We start from the raw sequence: 23,252 nt of genomic DNA on the forward strand, positions 1-23,252 counted from the left end.
AAAGGAAAAGGAAAAGGAAGAAAATAAACTGAGGATAATTAGCACTTTAACTTTATGGCCCTCCCTGATTGAATCTAGCTCTGCACACAAACACACACGACTACTAGCAAAAACACTCCCCCCCTCCAAGATCTTTATAGAAGGCCTTTTATATCCTCTTCCTTCTTTCCTGTATTTCTATAAATGGGAAAAATATGTTTGAAACAAACATCCTGGTGTTACAAATTTCTAACACTTTATCTAATACCATGTCATATTACCAGAAACTTCAGAGAAATCAGGAGTCCTTGTAGACTAAATTATTGATGATAAACTAACTCGCCTGCATAGGTATAAATCCCACCATAGTAATAAAAATTGATTTCAGGGCAGTTAGTTTCAAACATTTATTTATTCATTGGCATATGAAGGTATAGATAACATAAAAATAAAGTTCCTAGTCTTAAAAAAGAGTCGTTTAATCCTATATTAAAAGATTTATATTGCATATTGACTTTCCTCTATGCAGTTTTTACTTGGAACTTTTAAAGATTTTTGTCTGCCACAGGAATTCTTGATGACTGAGGAGTTTTAGTTCTTATTTTAGTTAATCCTAATTTTAGTTATTCATATGCATAAATTTCAAATCAATCTATTAATGTTTGTCAAACTGCAGAAAATATAAAACATGGTATTTCTGTTTAGTAATGAGACCAATTTTATTTGTGTGTGATTGTTGAAATCAAATAAGACATTTTGAAATAAGGTTATATTACTAGTTTACCAGAATTTTTATGTTTCATTCACTTAGGTTTTACATAAAATTTGCATTCATTTTTACATAACATATTCTGTTTCTCCTCTTTACTAGAATTGAATGGTATTATCTTTAGAATGTCTAAATAAAGTTCTTATGTATAATGCTTGGTAATTACTCATAAATGCTGTTTTCTCTACCAGATACATTTTGCAAAAGAATGTTAAGAGGAGAAAAACACTTGCTTATTACTTTCAGTAAAGGATATTAAAGTTTAGTTGAATTTTCTAGCAGAGTCATGAAATAGAGTAAATATTAAAATATACTATAGTGCTTATTGAAAATATTGGGAATCAAAATTCTGACTTTTCAAGGCCAATTTGCAATACACCATAGACTTATTAGTGCCAGAATTTACTTTAGGCAATCCAGTTAAAACATGTCTTATTACAAGATGGAGAAAAAGAGGCCAAAAGTATTAAGTTTGTGAGTTGGATCACATACAATTACATATTATGTTAAATATTCTTAGCAACAATCATTAAATTAAAAGTCTATCCTCTTCAGTGTCTTGCTGAGCTTTATTAAGATTGCAGGTATTCAATAGAACAAAGGAGTAAATTCAATCCACCCCTGCCCTTAAGGTAGAGAGAGAAATAAAGCCAATACAGATAGTGAATAATGTGATGGGAAGGGTATTTTAGGAACTGAAAGAAACAGGTAAATAACCCAAGCCTAGAAACTTGGCGCATGGGTGGCATGATGGAAACCATAGCATGGTGGTGGGCAACAGGAAGGGAAGGGAGACCTGAGCTGAGTTTTGGACTATAAATTATTGGCAAGGACTGCATCTGATGTTAGTAGTCTTTCCACTGTATTCTTATGCTAAACATCAATGAAAATCAAAGTGTTATATGAGTTATTTACTACGTCCTTTTTTATCCAATTGCTTAATGCTATAGGCTCTTAATGTAAGCTTAATATTAATTAGGCTTAATATTAATGCAATTTTCTTTAATTCTGAAGTCATTCAAGTGTAGACAGGCATGTGAGAAATTTATGCAAAAGATATGAGAATTGGTTCCTAATATGTACTTCAATACTATTTAAATTGATGAACCCATGGTCTTTTGATTGTTTTGTTTTCCCTATGGACTCCATTTATTATTCATTCATTGAGAAATAGAAATGTAGACTTAAAATTTTTAAAAAAACATTTAGAACAATAGAATAATTTATATGCCTGCTTCAAATGTTTGTTTATGACACATGGCCAATATAAAAAAAAAAGATCTTTAATAGAGTTCTGAGTTTAAAGGATCAGTGTCACAAATTTTTAGAAACTAAATGTCAAATGAATTCTTTCTATAAGTCATCCTTTTTATTAGATTTTCTGTATGATATTTGTATCCAAATAGGATTTTACAAAATAGAAATCAATCCATTTGCATTGGGAATTGAGAAATTTACACACACAGAAAATCAAACGCACCAAATATACAATTTATACAGTCCATATTAACAAGCAGTGTAGTAGGTATTTAGGCAAGTGATATTACCTAGGATTAATATTTAGCATCTATTATTTTAATAGGTGATCATTATGCCTTTCATACGTAACAACTATTATATCTAAAAGACAGCTCTTTTCAATATTTAAAAATCTAGAAAACATAGACTGCTTTTTATTTTGATTTCTTGTAAATTCACATCCTCATATGCCTTTTTATGAGACTTTATACGTATACCAAAGGAACTATATGTTTGTATACAAAATATTTATACTTTTGAATAATTTTAAATTATAATTCAAATAAAATTCAGATTTTTTTATTACTAGCTGTGAAACTTTGGACTTAACATCACTGAAGATTAGTATACTCATCTGTAAAATGGGATATTTACAGGATTAATTTATAGGCCCATTTCAAGAATAAAACTAAATCCATGCATAACATCTAATAGAGTGCCTGATACACAATAATGCCTAATTAATGTTAGCTGACCTTTGTCATTGTTATTATTGTCATCATTACTTTTTTAAACATAAAAAAGTATCAGTAAGTATTATATGGCAATTGTTTTTCTTTTGTTGCAGGATAATAATGGCTGTTTTAGTTTTCTCTGTGTTCTAAATTTTTCTAATTTTTTATAATATAAAATTTATATTTAGCAATGGCTGTTTCATCAATATATACTCTTTTACTACTTCTTTATAAAAATTTTAGTTGATCCACCTATACATAAATTTCAAATCAACCTATTAATGTTTTCAAAGTCTTTGACTCCTTCCTGTTCTATGTGAAATTCAGATTAGAACCAGTTCTCAATTATCTGTAGCAATTGGTCTTGGTCTGTACAGTTAAAGTACATGCAAAAAAGACACAAATGCTTTCTCACATGTGTCTTTCAGTCTAAGAGGAACTGCAACAATACTAGGTCCCTGCAATTTTCATTTGTGTACTGGCCTTTTTTAAAGACACTATGGTTACAGAGAGCATGATTTTTTCATGGAATTGCAAATTCCAGCATGGATAGATCCCAGGATGAAAAGCAGGAAACTAAAGAGGGGACAGATTAAAAATGACTCACAATATATAACAAGGGTTTTGATCTTGATTGTAAGAGAAACAGGTACCAATAAAGCTATAACAGAAGGTAGAGACTTGCTAGCTAGGTAGCATAGTTATATCTAGGGTGAAGGGGAGGTAGTGATTTTAGATTATCCCAGATTTCTAGCTTGAGTAACTTGGTGAGCATTTCCCCATACAAGAGAGGGAAAATAAGGAACAGATTGGAGTGGATTATGGAAATGAATTCCCTAAGTTTAGGACATTATATCTCTTGTATCTCAGGCCAGAACAGTTTATTCTCATGTATTGCCATCTACCACATAACGATTTTTCGGTCAATGATGGACTGCAGATATAATGGTGGTCCCCTAAGATTATAATACTGTAATTTTATTGTACTTTTTCTGTGTTTAGATATGGCTTGCCATTGTGTGACAATTGCCATACAGGTTTGTAGCTTAGGAGCAATAGGCTACAGAACATGGCCTAGACGTATAGTAGATTATACCATCTAGGTTCATGTAAGTACACCTTGTATGTTCATGTATGTTCACATGAGAATGAAATCACCTAACCATGTATTTCTCAGATTGTATCTCTGTTGTTTATCAACACAGGAATTGAAATTTTTTTGTGTAGCACTAATCTTATATTTCTGTAGAGCCTGATACTTTTCCAAAGTGCTTTCCCATGTGCTACCTCACTTTATCCAGGAAAGTCCGGGAAAAAAGGGAAAACACGCTCCATCTACTTGTAGAAAACAAGTCTTAGAGATCAAATGCATATGAATTGGCATGTCTAGAACTGAAGTCAAGATCATTGTGCTTTAATCACTCAAGAATCTTTTTGGGTAAAGATGAAAGCTTATTTGAAGAGAACATAGCAGGATTTATGAAGATCTTTTCCCGTCCTCATAGAAAAAGAAAAAAAAAATCTCTATGCTTAAAAATTTGCTAATCTTGCTGAGAAACCCAAAGAGCATTTTCTGCTGAAAAGTAGTGCACAGCAGGTAAATGCTGTAATGATATTTACTCAAAGAGCTTAAAATTTGTTAAAAGGAGATTCATACCAGGATCTTAGAAGTCAACTTCTGCATGCATTTTATAAGTGAATAACAAATGCTGTAAATAGTGTATTTTGTAGGGAGAAAGTGACATAGTGTCATCCTTAATGATGTGAAAGCAAACTCAGGAAAAGGTTTTGTCTTTTTAAAATAGATTTTGATTACATCTCAGCAAATTATTTTATGCTCATCAGTTGGAATTCACATTTATGTGGCAATGGAGATATTTTAATGCAACTACTGAATTGAAATACCATAAATTTTTCAGTGGTTTATTTCTGAAAGAATGTTGAGAACTATAATTTTGGCTTAAAAAATGAAATAACCCTGAATTTGGCATTAAAAAATACACTGAATGGCCAGTCAAGAACCACTGTAGCAAATAATATAACAGTATATATACTTGCAGAGTATCTATGTATTTCAGAACTGGGTTGAGGGGCAGAAAAGTTGGAGGATAGGTAGGCAGTGGCCCTTTGTGTTTGTCAAAGTTAGACTTCGGCTCAAATCCCAAATCTGGAGATGCCTGTCTTGGTGGTCTTGGTGAGTGGAACACTTTTCTTGGCCCCTGTTTCTTCATGTGTACACTGGGGATAGTAATACTTTATGTGGTTTTAAGAGGACTAAATGCAATAAATATTTGTTCATGCAGAAATATGTACCAAGGGACAATTATGTGCCTGACACTATTTTAGATGCTTCTGATACATAAGTGAATAAGCAAGTATTCCTGCCCTCCTGGAGATCTTATATGTGAAGAGCTCTGCAATGTGTCTGGCATCAATGGGTAATAAATTGTAGTTGTGAATGAGATTATGACGGCTTGGTAAATCTATATTTACTTAAATGGAGGAAAACAGTAATTTTAGAAATCTCTTCTACCTCCCATATCTTCTACTTAATTTTTTTCTTAGATGTAAGTACAAAACAAAAGGCATAATATTTTCCCTACTAGGTAATGGGCTTTCATACTAAACAGTATCAGTATCCTTGCTTTTTAAAGGTAAAATAACTTTCAGATCCCTCAGTTTTCATATAAAAGAAGGATTTGCATTATTATAGGTCACTAGTGTTATATTGATCAAATCACTACTTCAGATTTAAAGAAATTTTCATTCTCCAAAGGCTCAACATAGTTTCAATAATTCATTATCATAGGTATCTTCACATCTGCTCCAAGTGTTGCCTTACCCCTCTCCAGCTCCCAACTCATATAAACCTTTTATAATGAAATGATTATGAGGATGATTGAGCTTTTGTGTTTGAAATATGACTGGTTAGTAAACTTTGGAGTTTGACAAACTATATAAATTTCAGTAAAGGTTCAGTTGACATTTTCTGAATCTATATTCATGGACTGGCTCTCTGATTTTTTTGAGAAACCAGTAATATCAGGTATGATTGTAAGTTGCTGGTGAAAGCCCAATGACGTAAAATTGTATTGTAAGCAGTATTCCTTTTGGTATTGATATTTGTCTCCTCTTTTTGTTTTGCCTCATGTGAATATTGTAGGCATTTTTCTTGCTTGTTGTTTGTAGACAGTAACTATTACCAAGTGTGTAACACAGTTTAAACTCAAAATAAATTTAAGAAGTCTAGTTAAAACACAATTGCTGGGCATCACTATAGATCTCATGGACATTAAAAGGATAATAAAGTAATACTGTGAACAATTCTCTACTCAGAAATTTGATAATTATGATGAAATGAGCCAAATGCATGAAAGACACAATCTGACAAAACTCACACAAGAAGAAATAGACAATGAAAAATAGTCTTATATTAATCAATAATTAATAACCTTTCAAAACAGAAAGCACCAGGCCATGATGGGTGGTTTCTACAAAACATTTAAGGAAGAAATTACACTAACTCTCTATGATGTCTTCCAGAAGGTAGAAGCAGAGAGAATACTTCTCAAGTCATTCTTTCAGAACAGCATTATCTTAAAACCAAAACCAGACCAAGACATATGAGAAAAGAAACCATAGGCTAATATCTCCCTTGAACATAGATACAAAAATCCTCTACAAAATATTAGCAAATTGAATCCAATAATATATTTTAAAAATGTAGATGGCACAACTAAATAGGATTTATCTCAGTTATGCAATGCTGGTTCAACATGTAAAAATCAATTAATGTAAACCTTTATATCAACAGATTAAATGAAGAAATATCATTTGATCATATAAATAGATACATGAAAAGTATTTGACAAAATCTAACACACATCCATAATAAAACTCTCAGCAAAGTAGGAATTGAGGGGAACTTCCTCAACTTGATAAAAGACATTTACAAAAATCCTACAGCTAACAACATACTTAATGTTGAGAAACGAGAAGCTTTTTCACTAATATCAGAAAAAAGGCAAGGATGTCCTCTCTCACCATCTCTTTTCAATACAGTACTGGAAGTCCTAGCTTATTCAGTAAGAGAAGAAAAGGGAAAAAAAATGTATATACATTGGAAAGGAAGAAATGAAACTTCACAGATGACATAATTGTCTGTGTAGAAAATCTAAAAGAATTGACAAAAAACTTCCTGGAACTAATTAATGATTATAGCAAGTTGGTATGACCATATAATGGTAGATATACATGTGTGTAGAGGGTGTATCTGTGGCTATTGGGAACTCTGGTTTTTGTTCAGTTTTGCTGTTAATCTAAAACTGCCTTAAAAATAGTCTATTAAAAAGGAGAAAATTCAATTGCGTATGTAATAGTAGGGAAAAAGTACCACATAAACATGTTGTATACTGAATTTGCCTTGAATGTCTTAAATTAGCATGCCTTATTAGCAGCGGTAGACATGGATAGTTGGCATACTTCCTTTGGGGGAAAATGTGTTAGCTATACTCTGATAACATACACAGCTGACAATGCCAGTTAACATTCCGAAAATTTTATTATAGTGGAATATACTCAATTGTTGTATCACAGTGGAATCCAAAAATGTGTAGCTTAAGGATTTACTACAACTATTAGAGAGTGTTAATACTACGTTGCATTCGCATTTTTGCTTTTAGGATTTCTTTCAGAATAAGCAGTGCACGTTAGAGTCTCACAACCTTAACAGTAGTTGTAACAAAGCAGCTGAGTAACATAAAGTTGCCAAAGATCTGTATGGCACAAAAATGTTTGCAGTAGACAGTCTTCAAATGCCCTTGCTACAAAAAATGGTAATTTAAAACATTAGCTCACTTGATGCCAGGAGTTTCAGACCAGCCTGGGTAACACAGTAAGATTCCATCTCTACAAAATAATAATAATAAAATTAGCCAGATGTGGTGGTGTATGCCTGTATCCCAGCTACTCGGGAGGCTGAGACAAAAGGATAATTTGAGCCCAGAAGTTTGGGCTCAATCATGCCACTGCACTCCAGCCCAACCAACAGAGTGAGACCATGTCTCAAAAATAAAATAAAAAATAAACCACTGGCAAGGAGCTCAATGTGGAGAAATACAAAATTGACATTTATCTTAGAGGTGTCTTTATCAGTCACTTGTTAACCACTTGCCAGCTTACTTACTGAAAAGTTTTTCATTGTTCCTAAAAGAATTATTTAGTTTTTACCTGCTGAAGACAGTAATCTCTAGTACTGTTGCTTTCTGTGGCAAGTAATGGAACCTGGTCAAAACTTAAATCCAGAAAATACTCACTGGATTTAATGATTTAAGCAGAGTCTATAGAAAGAAAACCATATTTGATGTACTGATTGATTACACAAGATGTTGAGTTGATTTGCATATGGTACATTATTTATCAACATTGTTTTGTTTTACAAAAGCATCTAGTAGGATTTGTGTGCTAAAATAAATTCTGAACTCTCATGTATTATACACTTAGGTTTACAAATTCATATATAAGTGCCTGAATACATTATTTGTCTATTTTATATGTTGGCATAGAAAACTATATTTTCACATGACTTATCTTAGCACAATAGTGGGAAGTGTTGTAGATATTACCTACAGTTCCTTTTTGCAAATACTTTATCCTTTTAAATAATATCCTCTGCTTCCTCCAGAAATGTTGTGCAAAACATGGCCAACATGGTTGAAGTTAACTAATATATAAAATTTTCATTGGATCTAAGATAAAGTCAATCACCATTGACAACTTGAGGGGAGAGACACTCTTGCTTACAGAGTATATTCCGTATATAACAAGCTATATAACAAGTTAGATGGTGTGGTTTTCTTGTTTTGCTGGATAGTTCTATTAAGCAGGCATTTATTGAGCATTTAATTTGAACAAGCCATAATTCTACCAGGCACATTAGTGTGAGTACCGTGATTCGGCCTGAAAGTCATGGTCTTTCTTCTAAAGTTGTTTAGCATCTAGTTGCTAAGTTGACATCTGAGAATTCCTGCTGGCAGCTATTGTTCTCTTCTTTCTTTTGGTTTGTTCAGCATTTCTATAATCTGTCTCTTACCACTGCTTTGATTTTGTAAACCTTGCTATTTTAACCTAGAACCCTATGATCTGCCATATTGAAACACCAATACTTCACCAGTAGAGCATACATTTTCACTTTACTATGTCTGTGTTTATGTGACTTTCTCTTTGTATAATTCATTTCTGCTTCCTTCTCTATACAACCAAATCAAAGCACAAGACTATTGCAGGCAAACTCTGCAAAGAGTTCCCTGAACCCGGGTGCCTACCTCTCTCCCTTAGAAAGAAGGGATTGTTCATTTGTCTGGATTTTATTCATACACAATTAGCATATTCCATGAAAATAAGCAAAACATATTATCTAGTGACTGACTGTCAGGCACTAGCGTTATCTTGGCTAATTCTCAATATCACCTTGTGCAGTAAATACTCTTATCCTCATTTTATGGATGAAGATTCTGAAATATACAGTTTATGTAAGTTGCCCAGTGTTAGTACTAAGTGGCAGACCAATCATTCAAACTCAAGGATTCACTTCCAGAGTCATCTCTCTTAGCCAGTTTGCTATAGTACATGTACATACTCCATTATGAATAGTTGCATATGTACACACCAGTATCCTTGTTTTCCCCCAAACCTTAATATTAATTTTCTTAAGTTCAGCAATCATGTTTATGTGTTTCATATTCAATACTAACTAGCATTTAATATATGCTTTGTAAATACTTGCAGAATGTTTGTCGAATGGATAAGTTAAAAGGATGTCATGTTTTAGAAGAGTGTTTTAGTAATCCTGTTTTGAGGCATTTATGAAAATGTTACTTTTGCCTTCAGCTCTTCTGTACATAACCTATTTTAGATTCTTTAACTGAAGTCAAAGTTTTGGTCAATTGACAGAAAAAGAAGTCAGATTATCTCCAATATGAATGAAAACTGCTAAAGAATATTAAATTCTAGCTGCAAAAAGTTGACATGTGGGTTGGCGGTGGGGAGTAAACTTTCTGACTGCAGTCATTTTGGTATAATAGGATAATGGTCATAGGAACTTATAACACCTCTTATCTAAATTAGTAATGAAGCTTTACCATATTCTGGGTAGTGAGAAAATTGTCCATCTAGAGGCATAAGTCAGATGAGATGATAATAGGTGTCGTGTTTAACAGCAAGGCTTGCAAGTCAGCAGACATCTTCTAAAACCTAACCTTTGTTGTATATTCAGAAAGACACTTAACTTCTCTGAGCCAGGAACTGCCACTTATTAACTAAACAAATTACTTTACTTTTCTTCACCTCAGTGAAACCAAGATAAAGATACAGCCCATGTCAGGTTTTAATGAAGATTAAGTCATAGGACACTCATAAAGTGCTGAGCATATTGCCTGCACATGTCAGTACATGCTGAACTTTTATAATCGTTCAGTGCATTTAACTATGAAACATTTTAAAATACAATATCAATCCCATGGAGTTATTTGAAGAACCAAATGAGATAACAGTATGCTATGCTGGGCCCATAGGAAGCTATATATAAATCATAGCTGTGAACCATTCTATTATCAGATAAACATTTTTAAGTTTTTCCAATTGCACACCCCTTTAAATCTGTCATAACAACTTAATAATGTATTACATTTTAAGTACATTTTTGAATTGGACATTAGTATAGCACATTACTATGATTATTTACATAGTCCATGTAACCAAAACTCAAAGTAAAAAGGCTAAAAAATTGAATGTGAAATAAACATTAAATTGATTTTAAGTGAGACCTAAGTAAAGCATTGTAAGATCTAAGGAAGCTTTATGTCCCATAAACCAGTGAAGCTATATACCACCAGACCAAAGAACTAACCTATGGCTATAAATTAAGAAAATCATTACAGCAGGCACATGAAAACACTATGTCAGAACTGGAAAGAGTAACATATGATGGCAAGAATCTTCTTTTAATTATAGATCCTAGTCAATACACATATTTATATGTTTATATCAAAAATATGAATGTTTCAGTAAAAGAGATGAGATTTGAGAAAAATACAAATTATTAATAGGACTACCTTTGTTGCATAATAAGAAAACTGAATTTCATACAGACAGAGTCTCTAAACATTGATTTTCCATCAAAGACCAGGGAATCTGAAAATAATACATACATTTTTGTACACATTGGCTGAATGTGTGGAATAAAATATTATCAAATTCTAAATTACTGACTGCAAGCCAGTTACCTTCTCTCTTACTGAGGAGCACCTGGTCAAAGCATTATTTTTTTTTTCCCCCCAGCTCCATAGTCTTCCACACTTTGCCTCATTTCAGTAATGTATTTAATGTCAGGTTGCTACCATCTACAAACAACATACACATCGTGTTGTTTACCTTCGGTAGTCCTCTTTATCATGTGCATTGAAGTCCACCTTTTCTACCTGGTCTATGAAATCTTCTGCACATTCATCCTCTGACTCTTTCCCGCATCATATGCAGATCTTCACTTATTCTTACCTGGGACTTTCGGCTTCAGTCAACAATCTCACCTGCAAACTCAGGGCGTCTTACTTCTTTTCACCTAACACTATTCTCATCTTTGCCTTTTAGTTTTGCCAACACTTATGTACTTTGCTAACCTTAAGTTTCATTACCTTTTGCTTTTTACATAGTTTAATGTTCTCCATGTTAGTATGCCATATGCCCTTTCACCTCAAGTAAGTTATAGGCTTCCTAAAGATAAAAATAATTGCTTTCTATTTTGTTTTCCTATCATACACAGCACCAAGTGCATCCAATGCACTGTCAATCAATGCCTGAGAAAATATTTCGGCGTTTTTTTGTCAGGGGTTGAAGTGGCATTTAAAAACTTAAAATTCTAATTGCCCATATTTTATTATTTATGTCTCACCCAGAGTGTGAGAAATTGAGAACACATTTCTGTGCTTGGTTTTATCTCTAAATCTAATGAGAACCAGCAGAGATCATCAGAGGTTTAGAAAATATATAAGGAACAATTTTCTATAAAAGTATTTTAGTGATTCTTATGATTTCCCATCTTTTATAACCTCCTTCCTGTTGATTTTTAAAAGGATGTAAAGGAAATATTAAAAACTTTTTTTCTGTAATTCTTTCCTTTGTGGGGCACTAGATGTTAGATTTTTGTATTTCACTCTAGACTCTACCACTTCATAACTATTTTATTCAAACTCACATTAATCAACTTCAGAGTGACCTCAAGTAAGCTTAATTAACCTCTTTTGGTTTCAGTTTTTTTTCTTGATGGGGTAAGATGATATCTAAATTTCTTTCTAGCTCTCATATGTTTAGCCTATTTATGTAAAATTCTTTCCACATGTAGAGTTCATTTCAGTCCTACAAGTCTACATATTCTTGGCTTACCAGAGTAAATTATCAAGAACTAGATAGAACTGAAAAACATCACCTGAATAGGGCTGATCTCAGTAGATATAAAACTATTAACCATTTCCAAATCATCAACCTCTATTGTCTTCAGCACTTTGGCTTGATTAAAGATTTTCTCCCCCACTGATTTTTCTCTCTATTTAATCCACTTAAATTTGCATCATTTTGTTTTCTTTTATCATCACTGCTTGAGGCTTCCTGCCAGTATGAATTTTAAAGTCTTACAGTCCCTAATTCTCATCTGCTTAAATGTTATAAATGTTGTACATATCTTAGCTGCATGATTTCCTCTGGGCATTTTTGAAGCTTACTTAAAACTATGGAACCCCCTCCTCAAATATCCTGAAATTCAAGTTTGATTTGGTGTATATATCTATGGGGAAGACAACCATGGCTAAACATGAGAGTAGAAAAATACACCTGCATTCCAGGTCAAGAGAAATGTGACTCCTCTGCAGTTACGGAGAATCAGTTTATTGTTGTAATCATGCTGCCAAGATAATTGGGGTAAACCTAATAGTGTAAGTGTAGAAGCTCCAAAGCCGCACTACCTAGTTTCACATCCAGGATCTACTACTTTCTAGCGGTGTGACATTGAGCAAGATGCTCACTCTCTAACCCATAGGATTGTTACATGCATTAAATAAAGTGACATATGAAAAGCAAATGAAACAGCACCTAGTACATAACCTTCAACAAATGTTAATTGTTGTTATTATTATTAACATGTTCAAAGACAGTTTGGAGTAATCCTGTAAATAGCAGGGGAATCTCACATTCTTATTTCACTAAGATTTAGAAATATGTATAGTTTGGTAAACCTGTTTAACCTATGTTTAAATAAACAAATTTTCATATGAAGTCTATGGTCCTAGCAACATTTACGACAGGAAAATTGATTGTATTATTTCCCTTGTCTATAAGCACACTAAAGAATAGGGACTTACAAAACTATCTAAGGGAGCCCGCTATAGCAGTTAAGATGAGAACACCTGCAGCCTGATTTCCACCACACTACCTAGGGCATCTCATGGAGCACATCAAGAGGAAAGCCAGAGAAACTAAAGGTTGTTGTTAGCATCATCCATTTTCTTCAGATTTTTCTTGTCTAAAAGGAAGGAACCAAAATACAGAAATCAATGTTTATGTGCTTTTAAGGGCCTGATTTTAACTGGCAGGCAAGGCATTTGATATATGCAACTGGATTTTTGTCTTTCTCACACTTCACTGTGGCGTCTGAACAGAGCTATAGATGATCTCAGTCCGCTGTAAACAAAACAAAACAAAAATAATGCAAGTCTGCCATGTAACACCCATTAACAATGCAGCTTTAAGATACAGATATCTTCTCCTCTTGTGAATATTTACAATACTTTTTATCTCTCCTAATGCACTGTGACCTATAACACTCTACTGGAGAATTAGAGATTTGTTCTCTAGTTGTTGCATGAACTTATGATTCATTTCCTCATATAGAAAAAATGATTATTTGAGTATCAGAGCCTTATCTTATATCTCCTTGAAACCTCCCATATTTCTTACTCTAATTCTGAAATATTTTGAAGTTAATATTTAATGTAAAATATGACCTAGTAACTATTTCTCAGTTGTTTCTTACTCCTCAGAAATTGTGTCTTTGCATTTGTTCCTAGGGAGATTGAGAAATAAAGATCTACAGGAATCCACATGTTAGGTGCTTTTCTTTGTTCTTTATTAAGACTAAGAATGAGGTAAGAAGAGTAAAGAAGATCAGAGATCAGTAATTTGTTAGAATTTCAGCTTTAATTGGTCAGGAACACCTAGAGCTTGTTTCCACTCACATAGTTAAATGCCTTATGTTTTTCGTTGCTCTGTCCTTCAGTTTTTCAGGTGCGGATCCAAAGTTTGCTGATGTCACCAAAGCAGTATATATCAACATTTTTTACATAGTGAGGCAGTTAAGGGCGCAATTTCTAACAACAGACCTAGATCAAATTCTAATACTTTCTTACACTCTTCACTAAAGGAACTGACTCATTTCTCTATTATCTGATAATTATTTCATAACTTATAAAATTATGACCAATATCTTTATTATGTGAAAGTTTAAGATTCACTTTTCATTATATATAGCTAGAATCATTGAGTTGTAGACTTCTCTCCACTTACAATCCATGTAACTACGAACAGAGTACTTAACTTTTTTAAATGTTATTTTATTTCTCTGTAAAATTGAGACATTAAAAAATATGTAATAACATGGTTGTAAAAATGTGGTGAAGAATTTAGAAATTCTTCTTCAAAAGTAGTCTCTGATGATTAGCATAGTTGAAAAACTGCTGACCTATATGATGTTCATGTCAACCCAACAGTTCCATGAAAAACTGAGTCATAAGAGAGTAAATGAAACTTCTTAGCTAGATGATTTTAGGCTTTTTAATCTGTTTGGATAATATTCCCACTGACTATTCAATTAATTTAATCTAATTTCATAAATACTGGATGTTTTCCTTGTTTCAAGCATATACTTGTGAAAAAGACCTACACAGGTTACAGTTGACCCCAAGTCCTAAATAAAATCTTGTGATGCATTCTGAATCTGAATAAGGCTTGCTGTTGTCACTTAAAATTTTGTGCATTACGTACATGTATTTATTTTTAACTAAATGTTAGTACAATTATTATAAAAACCTATATATACAACCTTTCAAAAGTGTCTGTGTAGAGAATTATTTAAGCAGAATATGGATTTTGCTCCTTTATGCAGCCTAATTTTAACATGATGTGTACTTAAGTTATACTCAAATGTATATTTTCTATTCTGCATAATTTTGATGAAAATACCAGGTTTAGAATTTTCCTAATAATGTATTCCACTTACCTTAGTAAGTATACAGCCTCCTATGAGATCAACTCTATCAATAAACACTAAATATCTCCCTAAGGACTCTTTTTTATGTTATCACTTTATAATATAATACGAAGTGATCATGTTTTTCTGTAAGCTGATTTGCATTCAACATCAAGCTTACCTATTCCCCTGAGTACTTTTAAAAGTACTGTTATAACAGCTGGGCTAATAGTTGAAGAATCAAATCAAAGTTTCAATCTTTGTATCTATGCATGCATGTGATAGTGTACATGTGTATATCCCTGGGCCCAGAGATCTCTTTGTTGTAATGTCTTATTTATCTAGGAAAATTAGGCACATTGTTTCTCTATAAACAAGAAGCAAAGACTAGAAAACAAAACTGTAGGAAAATTTTAGAACAAGGAAAGCATTGGTCTAATGAAGTGAATAATAGTTTTTCACATGAATAAATAATTGCAGCATCTACTTGCTGCTCTGTTTGATTGCAAGAACTGAGGTGAACTATTATAACTACAAGATTTTCATTGTATTGCATGCAATGTGATGGTCTCCAAAATGTCATACAGGATGATCCAACATTATCAACTCAGTGTAATTGTTAAAGAATAGCCATTTCATTCTTTTCTTTGTTGAGATCTATCTTGCCATCCCATGGCCTACTTGAAAAAAATTATCTCTCAAATATCTCCAGGATACATACATGGACATCCCAATACTCTGATGTTTTAATGATCAGGTCCAGGAATGGCTTTACCAACCCCTGTTATGGGATTCTCACTCTTTACACTTAGGCTTTCCTAATTGTTTTTAGTTACAGCTCAACAGCTTTGACCATGTTATTTCTGAAAATCCTTCTTATCGTTTTCTGAAAAATTCTTATTCATCTTTTAAGGCTTTCTCCATGTTCATCTTCCCCAGGAATTCTTCACTGAACTCCAGGTGGGGCTATAGATACCTTTTTTCTTTACACTGGGCTTGTGTTATTAAAGGAGATCGAGACCATCTTGGCTAACACGGTGAAACCCCATCTCTACTAAAAATACAAAAAAAAAATTAGCCGGGCGTGGTGGCGGATGCCTGTAGTCCCAGCTACTCTGGAGGCTGAGGCAGGGGAATGGCGTGAACCTGGGAGGCGGAGCTTGCAGTGAGCCAAGATCGCGCCACTGCACTCCAGCCTGGGCGACAGAGCAAGACTCCGTCTCCAAAAAAAAAAAAAAAAAAAATTATCTGTTATGTGTTTTCTTCATTCGACTCTTCACTCCAACACCTAGGGTTCTTTCTCATATTTACACTTCAAAATGTTTATTGAACTGAGAATGATTTAAGAACGTAGATGAAGTCCTTGACAACACACCTGAATAAGAAAGCACATTTTGTTTTGCTGCTGGTACTTGATTATACTTGAAATGATAGAAGCCTTCAAAATCAAGGAAAACACAGGAATTTTCAGTAGAATTAGTTTTTATTTTTCTTCTGAAATTTGGTGGCTCACACCTGTAATCCCAGCACTTTGGGAGGCTGAGGCGGGCAGATCACGAGGTCGAGACCATCATGGCTAACACGGTAAAATCCCGTCTCTACTAAACATACAAAAATTAGCCGGGCATGGTGGCGGGCGCCTGTAGTCCCAGCTACTCGAGAGGCTGAATGAAGCGGGAGAATCGCTTGAACCTGGGGTTGGAGGTTGCATTGAGCCGACATCGCGCCACTGCACTCTGGCCTGGCAACAGAGCAAGACTTCGTCTTAAAAAAAAAAAAAAAAAAAGTAATTAACTTAGAGGCAAGCTGAAATCAATATAAATTTCATCTTAGATGGCACAAAAAAGATATTTCCAAATTAGATAGGCATAGTACATAAAAGAGTAGCCTGTCATTTTGCTATTTGCTAGAGTTTGGGTTTATTCGCAAATGACCTGATTTCTCAGTTATTTGTTAGCTACATGCAATTGGCAAGTATAGCTCCTTAAACCAGAATTGTGGAAAGTCGTGCTATAATAGATGAGGTCAGCAGCCTGGCTAAACTTCAAAACAAATGAGAAGTTCATAATTCTAAACCTGGGAATGTTGACGCATAAATTGGCTGTTATGAATTTATGAAAGCATCATGATATTATATTTTCTATATGGGAAGTGTATGCAGGAAAACTGTAGAGTGAAAAGGGCTTACTGTAGAGTGGAAAGGGCTTACTGTAGAAGGAACCAACTAGTCTGATTGGCAAAAGCTGGGAAGAGTTTTCTGCAGAGCCAACATTTACGCTGAAACCTGATATCTTGGATATTATTTAGCAGTATCTCCATCTGGCTAAGAGATGGACTATACTCATTATTTTTCCCAAGTTAGTCACCTGGAGGTGATGAATGATTTTTTTTGGTTGATGAGCTACTGGGGAAGAGGAGACCAAGGAGATTCTGGAGCCTGTTAGGTATGTAAGGCTAGTAAAAGGAGGGATGCAATATTTTGGCAAAGTAAGAAGATTATGCATCCTTAAAAAGATAACTAAATGGTCTTTATTGTTCCTACTCTGGTTAATTATTTTCTGACAATTAATATGTATCATCCTTATTAGACTTTAATTATAATGCAAATTAAGAATTGCAAAGCATGATTTTCCACATGACTTAATATGTAACACCTGTAAGCTCTTTGAGGACAGGGATCATGCATTATTTGAATGTCTCACACGAGGAATGCCTCAACAGATTTAACTTCAAGCAAAATGTATACAAAATGAAGTATGACTTTGTGACTTCTATTAGGGCATAATACTGAGTAATTAAATAATACACTGTTTCTAGTTAATATCAACAATATACATTTCATTGGTTTCACAACTGCTTAGGAGGAATGGGTTTTGAGATGGTTTTGTAACAAATAGTAGTCCAATTAATTCTTTAGTACAGTTAAAAAGGTTTTGTCAATAGAAAAATGAGTGGGCCGGGCATGGCAACTCACACCTGTAATCCCAGCACTTTGGGAGGACAAGGCGGGTGGATCATGAGGTCAGGAATTTGAGACCAGCCTGGCCAATATGGTGAAACCTCATCTCTACTAAAATATACAAAAATGAGCCAGGAGTGGTGGCACGTGTCTGTAGTCCCAGCTACACGGGAGGCTGAGGCAGGAGAATTGTTTGAATCCAGGAAGTGGAGGTTGCAGTGAGCCGAGATCACGCCACTGCACTCCAGCCTGGGCAACAGAGTGAGACTCTGTTTCAAGAAAAATAATAATAATAATAATAATTAAATAACAAAGTGTGTTTTCCCCCTTGAGCATTATATTTAAAAAATAAGGCCAGATTCTTATAGATAAAAGATAAAATAAGAGATAAAGTTAGGTTATCCTATTTTCCTGTTCTGTCATAAAGACAAACTGAAATACATTTAAATTTCACTTTTTAGATACAGGATGGTCCAAATGATATAGTCCTAGTTTAATTATTGAAAAGCTAGAGGCATAAATATGCTATGTTGAAGAAAATATACATAATACATATAATGGATAATATTTGTATTCTTTTATGGTTATAGGAATAAGATAATTGGTTGATTATCTAATATATGGCATGCCCTTTAGAGATGTTATCCCATTTAATTCCTGTAATAATATGAAGAAGAGATATTATCTGCCTTTTTAATATGATGATTAGAAGTATCAGGAATTTAAGTAACATAAATTCACAATTACACAGCTTCTAGATGTTAAAAATGTAATTTGAATTTAGGTTGCCTGACCTGAAAGTACAGACATTGCTTTAATCACAAAATTGCTGTCTATCTAGATGGTAAGAAACCTAAATAACATTTGTGACACTGGATATGACATGTTGCTTAATTATATATACCAATGTAAAGACATTGTTCCGCCTTTGCACTTTTTATTTTTGAAAACATTAAAAGTCAAATTCTTCTTGCTCAATAAATGGCTGTATTAAAGAAATGCCATTGAAAAGCCAGCTGGAAGAGAATGAGGTTAAAGCTGTGGTTCTCAGGAGGAGGTGGGGGAATGTTGCATTCCAGGAGACTTTTGACTATTGACTGTTACAATGTATGTAGCGGTGGGATGGGTAGGGAGAGGTGCTCCTGGCATCCAGTGAATAGAGCCCAGACATGCTGCTAAACATCTTACAATGCACAGGATAGACCACAGCAACAAAGAATTATCCAACCCAAAATATCAATAGTGCTGAGGCTGAAAGAGAGGGTTAAAGCCTTTGTATGGAGCCTACACAAAAAGAAGTAGGGGACTCTTTTTGTCTGTTTATTTTGGTTTGGATTTCTGTTGGATTTAAAGATCGGTTGCTACCAGCATTACTTCCTTGTAGGATACTGGTTGTCTTCTAACAAAGACATCTTCATTTTTAAAGACCTTCATTCTTGTGATTGGAATTTTAAATCCTGTGCAAGTTAAGGAAATGTTCTCTTACATGTTAAAATTGAACACAGTTTATTCTTTACTGCAGAAATTTCTTCCTCATTCAGTACCTGACAAAGCCACTTATTGTTTCTTATAAGATTTCCTGATCCTTGAGACACAAAGCGATGCTTGAGTGCATCTTTTGAATTAGCAGATTTTGGGGAGTGTATGCAAGACGAGTAATGAAGTTAGAAAGTAATTTAAATCTAAAAAGAACTCAATGGAGTTTATTTAGAAAGAAAATGGTTTAGAAGATACTATTCTTTTAAAAAAATTGGTTTTATCATGTCTGAAGAGTATACACAGATATGATTTTTCTTTCAGACACATGTGTAATTCCTATCATGGTAATATGTTGAATTTAACATTTATTTAATGCTTAGTGTTTACAAGGAGCCAAGAGACACATTTGTCAACATCTGCAAATGGCAAGATATTCCACAGCAAATAGAATTGTTTGTGTGAATGTTAATGTAAACCTGTAAAGGACACAACTCTTTTTGAGATGCGATTGTATCAATATTAATGTAAGAGGTTTTCTATCATACATTTACCTCATGTGCTCTACCTAAAAACAAACATCTCTTGCTGCAATATGGATATTGATGTCACAACCTGACAATTTAAATTAGATAGTTCTGCTTTGTTACGAGAAACTATCAAACTCGGATGCAGGCTTCTAATAGATGTGGGGCCCCTAGAATTGTTGTCCATTTCTTGTCCTATAGAACCTTCCCTCTATTATCTGGCATATTAATAGCAATTTCTCCTTGCTGCTCAGTATCACAAACTTGCCCAGAGGCAAGGAAGCAAAAAGAGGCTGTCTTCTTGGAATTTGAGGGTGGGGACAAAATATATGAAGACAATTTTATGTCTGAGTGAATTATCTTGCCACAGGTGCTATATTTACTGGTACAGTAGAATTGCTCAAATTTTATATTAGCTGGTGGATATATTTTCCATTGTCACAAGGCCTATTCTGGATGCCATACAATTGTTCAATACCCAACAATGCATGGTAAAGCCATATGTATGTATTTCAAAAAGCAATAGTACACTGTACAAAAGTGTGAGAGGACTGGTCTATTAAGATCAGTTTAAAGTTGGCATTTTAGGCCCTCTAAGATGGACATTAAAGTATGCAGAACTGATCCAGCCATCTGGAGGGCTGAAAAAAAAATGATTATTATCCCTGAAAGTTGTTAATCTCTGAAAATCTGCCAAACACCTGAAGAAAACTGCTAGGAGATTCTACCCTCAAACACAGACCCAAATAGGCTGTATTGGTCACCATTCCATTTTTGAAAGCTAGCCGGCTAAAGGAAAGATATCATTTAGGAATAATGGCTCCAAGAGTAAATTCTCCAGGAAATCAGACATCTAATTAGCTAGATCATTTGCTGGGCACAGAATGTCAGGAGTATCAGTTTCTTTTTTATTTTTTTAGGAGTATCATTTCTATTAATTTATTGTTATAAATTTATTCTTGACAAAGCAGGGTTTTTTTTGTTTGTTTGTTTTTGCTGTTTTTTTCTATCCACTCCATTGGGACTAAGAACCAACCTATGTTTCAGTTACTTGTGATACACCTAAAGTATGTATGAGATGAGAGCGCTTGGAATGTGACATAAACTAAGGTGTAATTCAGTATTTCAGGACAATAACTTCCTGAGGGATGCCACGCTGGGCTCATGAACCAAGAGTACATGACTGACTTAGGTGAGTCAAGCAGATGCGGATGTGAGCCCTCAAGCACAGAAACCTGCTCAGTGAGGCAGGGAGAGGAATGAAGGAAAATGATGTGGCCACAGAGCCTAGATATAACCAGCAGGCAGTTTAGGCACAGGCTTTGTAGGGCAAAACTTCCTGGGATCCCAATTCCAAAAGCTGTCTGTACCAAGATACTGGAGCAGGCAGGGAGAATATCCAAATGATGGCCCAACACTCACGCAGGTGGCAAGACCTCTACCAAGAGACAATTTTGGTACCAGATCGAACTTCAAGGAACTGGCATGGGCCAGGTAAAGTCACCTGAGAGGAGGGTAGTGGTGGAATACAGAATGTAACAGTCTCTTAGTACATAGGAAATGGAGCTGCTGAAGCACAGGAAAAGGACAACATGATGTGGTGCGGGGACCACTGCCCCTTCACTGGTATGGACCATCTGGGTCACCTTAGCATCAGCTTCCTTGATCTGATGGCCGTAAAAATGCCTGGGCCTAAACTAGGTGCTCACTATTGGGTTTGCCATTCTGACTTCATTCCAGGCTTCAGCTCCCATCAGAAATGAAGGGGCAGGAGTTTGGACACAAAGGCTTTCAGCAAGTGTTAACTTATCTTGGAAAACGAATAGTCTCATCTAAAAGGTGAATTTATGTGAGGTACAAAGGAAGATAGAGTCTGGAGGTGGGGTGACATTCTGAGTAAGTCGTTCGATGCCCCAAGAGAGAAGGTTGCGATAACAGTACAAGGCATTTTCTTATGTTTGTTGGTGGGCTTATGTTTCTGTTTTAGATTCATCTGTATTGATCTATAGTGATGCTCAAATGAAGTATGTGGCTCTGTGCACAGGACAATTCCCTGAAGTGTGTCCTCTTTTGTGAATGTATTGTGCTTCTTCGAAGAGCCCTTTATGACTTTTCCACATCACATTGATTTTTTCCTTTTTAAAAATTTTGTAATGCAGCTAGAAAAATGTAATTGAGTGTTTAAACAATCCTTGCTTCATAGTCTCTAAATGTTTCAAATATGTAATTCTTGTTTTTTTAAAACACTTGTAAGGGGGGCAATCTGTTGCTTTTTTCTTCTAGGAGGCCTAACAGTGTTTGGCTAGACATGTGATCAAAACATCTTGTTTTTTGATCGATCGATTATCTGCTTGAATCAAAAATCTGTCATTGACTGGAAACACGTATTAATTGTGTGACATTGTACTCAGAAAACAGTAGACTGAAAATCGATGACTAAGAGTTCTAATCCTAATTCCATATAAGTTTTTTTGTGACCTGAACAAATGATGATTTTTAGGTTACTTATCTGTAAAATAAAAATGTGGTAAAGGGTTTACAGTTAGAATTAATTATATATGAAAGCAAACTTTCAGATATTTAGACAGACTGAAATGAGAGGAAACTAGATCTTGCTACTGGTCCCATTTTGAGTAATGTTGTTAAAAATAATCTACAAAGCAATTTGATACCCTGAAAAATAGAGCGTGAATCGAAAAGAACTTTCCTTAATATTATCAACGTGGGGATTTACTTGGAAGCATTTCCCCATGTTCACATTAAATTTTCTAGAAAACCAATGAAAAAGTGAACTATATAGCAGTCCTGTGCAATTTGAAAAACTACATCTGCATCTTCTAGAGTCTGTTACTATAATACTTCACAGCATTTTACAATCAGTATCTTTAGTGCTATAACCTAATGAGAACTATCTGGTGAGTGTGATTAGAGGTAAAGAATGTCTGACCTTGTAATCATGGAATTATTTTTCTAATAATGCCTTCAAATGTATTTGAATGGAAGTTATTATTACTAAATGAAATAATCTTAGAATCACAGAAATCATTATACCACTTTTTAAGCAAGCATTCACTGACTAGGAAGCATTAAAAGGTTTTTTTGTAATTTGTAAAGTGATGAATATTAGTATAATAAAGAAAGTAGAAGTAGCCTAAGCTGATGTCTCCTTTTTTAGTTATATGATAGTCATTTAAAAATTCTGAACCTGGGGCCGGGTGCGGTGGCTCATGCCTGTAATCCCAGCACTTTGAGAGGCCGAGGTGGGCGGATCATGAGA

At 34.3% G+C, this 23,252-nt stretch overlaps 1 protein-coding gene across 9 annotated transcripts in view, besides 1 other annotated feature; it reads left to right on the top strand.

Moving 5' to 3' along the window:
- The window catches only part of NKAIN2 (sodium/potassium transporting ATPase interacting 2), a 1,021,776-nt gene that overhangs the window by 276,757 nt on the left and 721,767 nt on the right, over positions 1 to 23,252 (top strand). The window lies entirely within an intron of this gene.
- Positions 8,448 to 8,949: an enhancer, noted in NCBI's record as "NANOG hESC enhancer chr6:124410214-124410715 (GRCh37/hg19 assembly coordinates)". NCBI's record gives its function as "activates a minimal SCP1, AML or CMV promoter by ChIP-STARR-seq in naive H9 embryonic stem cells {active_cell/tissue: H9 hESC(naive)}" and the evidence as "EXISTENCE:reporter gene assay evidence [ECO:0000049][PMID:30033119]".

This window comes from Homo sapiens, chromosome 6, assembly GCF_000001405.40.
Source record: "Homo sapiens chromosome 6, GRCh38.p14 Primary Assembly".
NCBI lineage: Eukaryota > Metazoa > Chordata > Mammalia > Primates > Hominidae > Homo > Homo sapiens.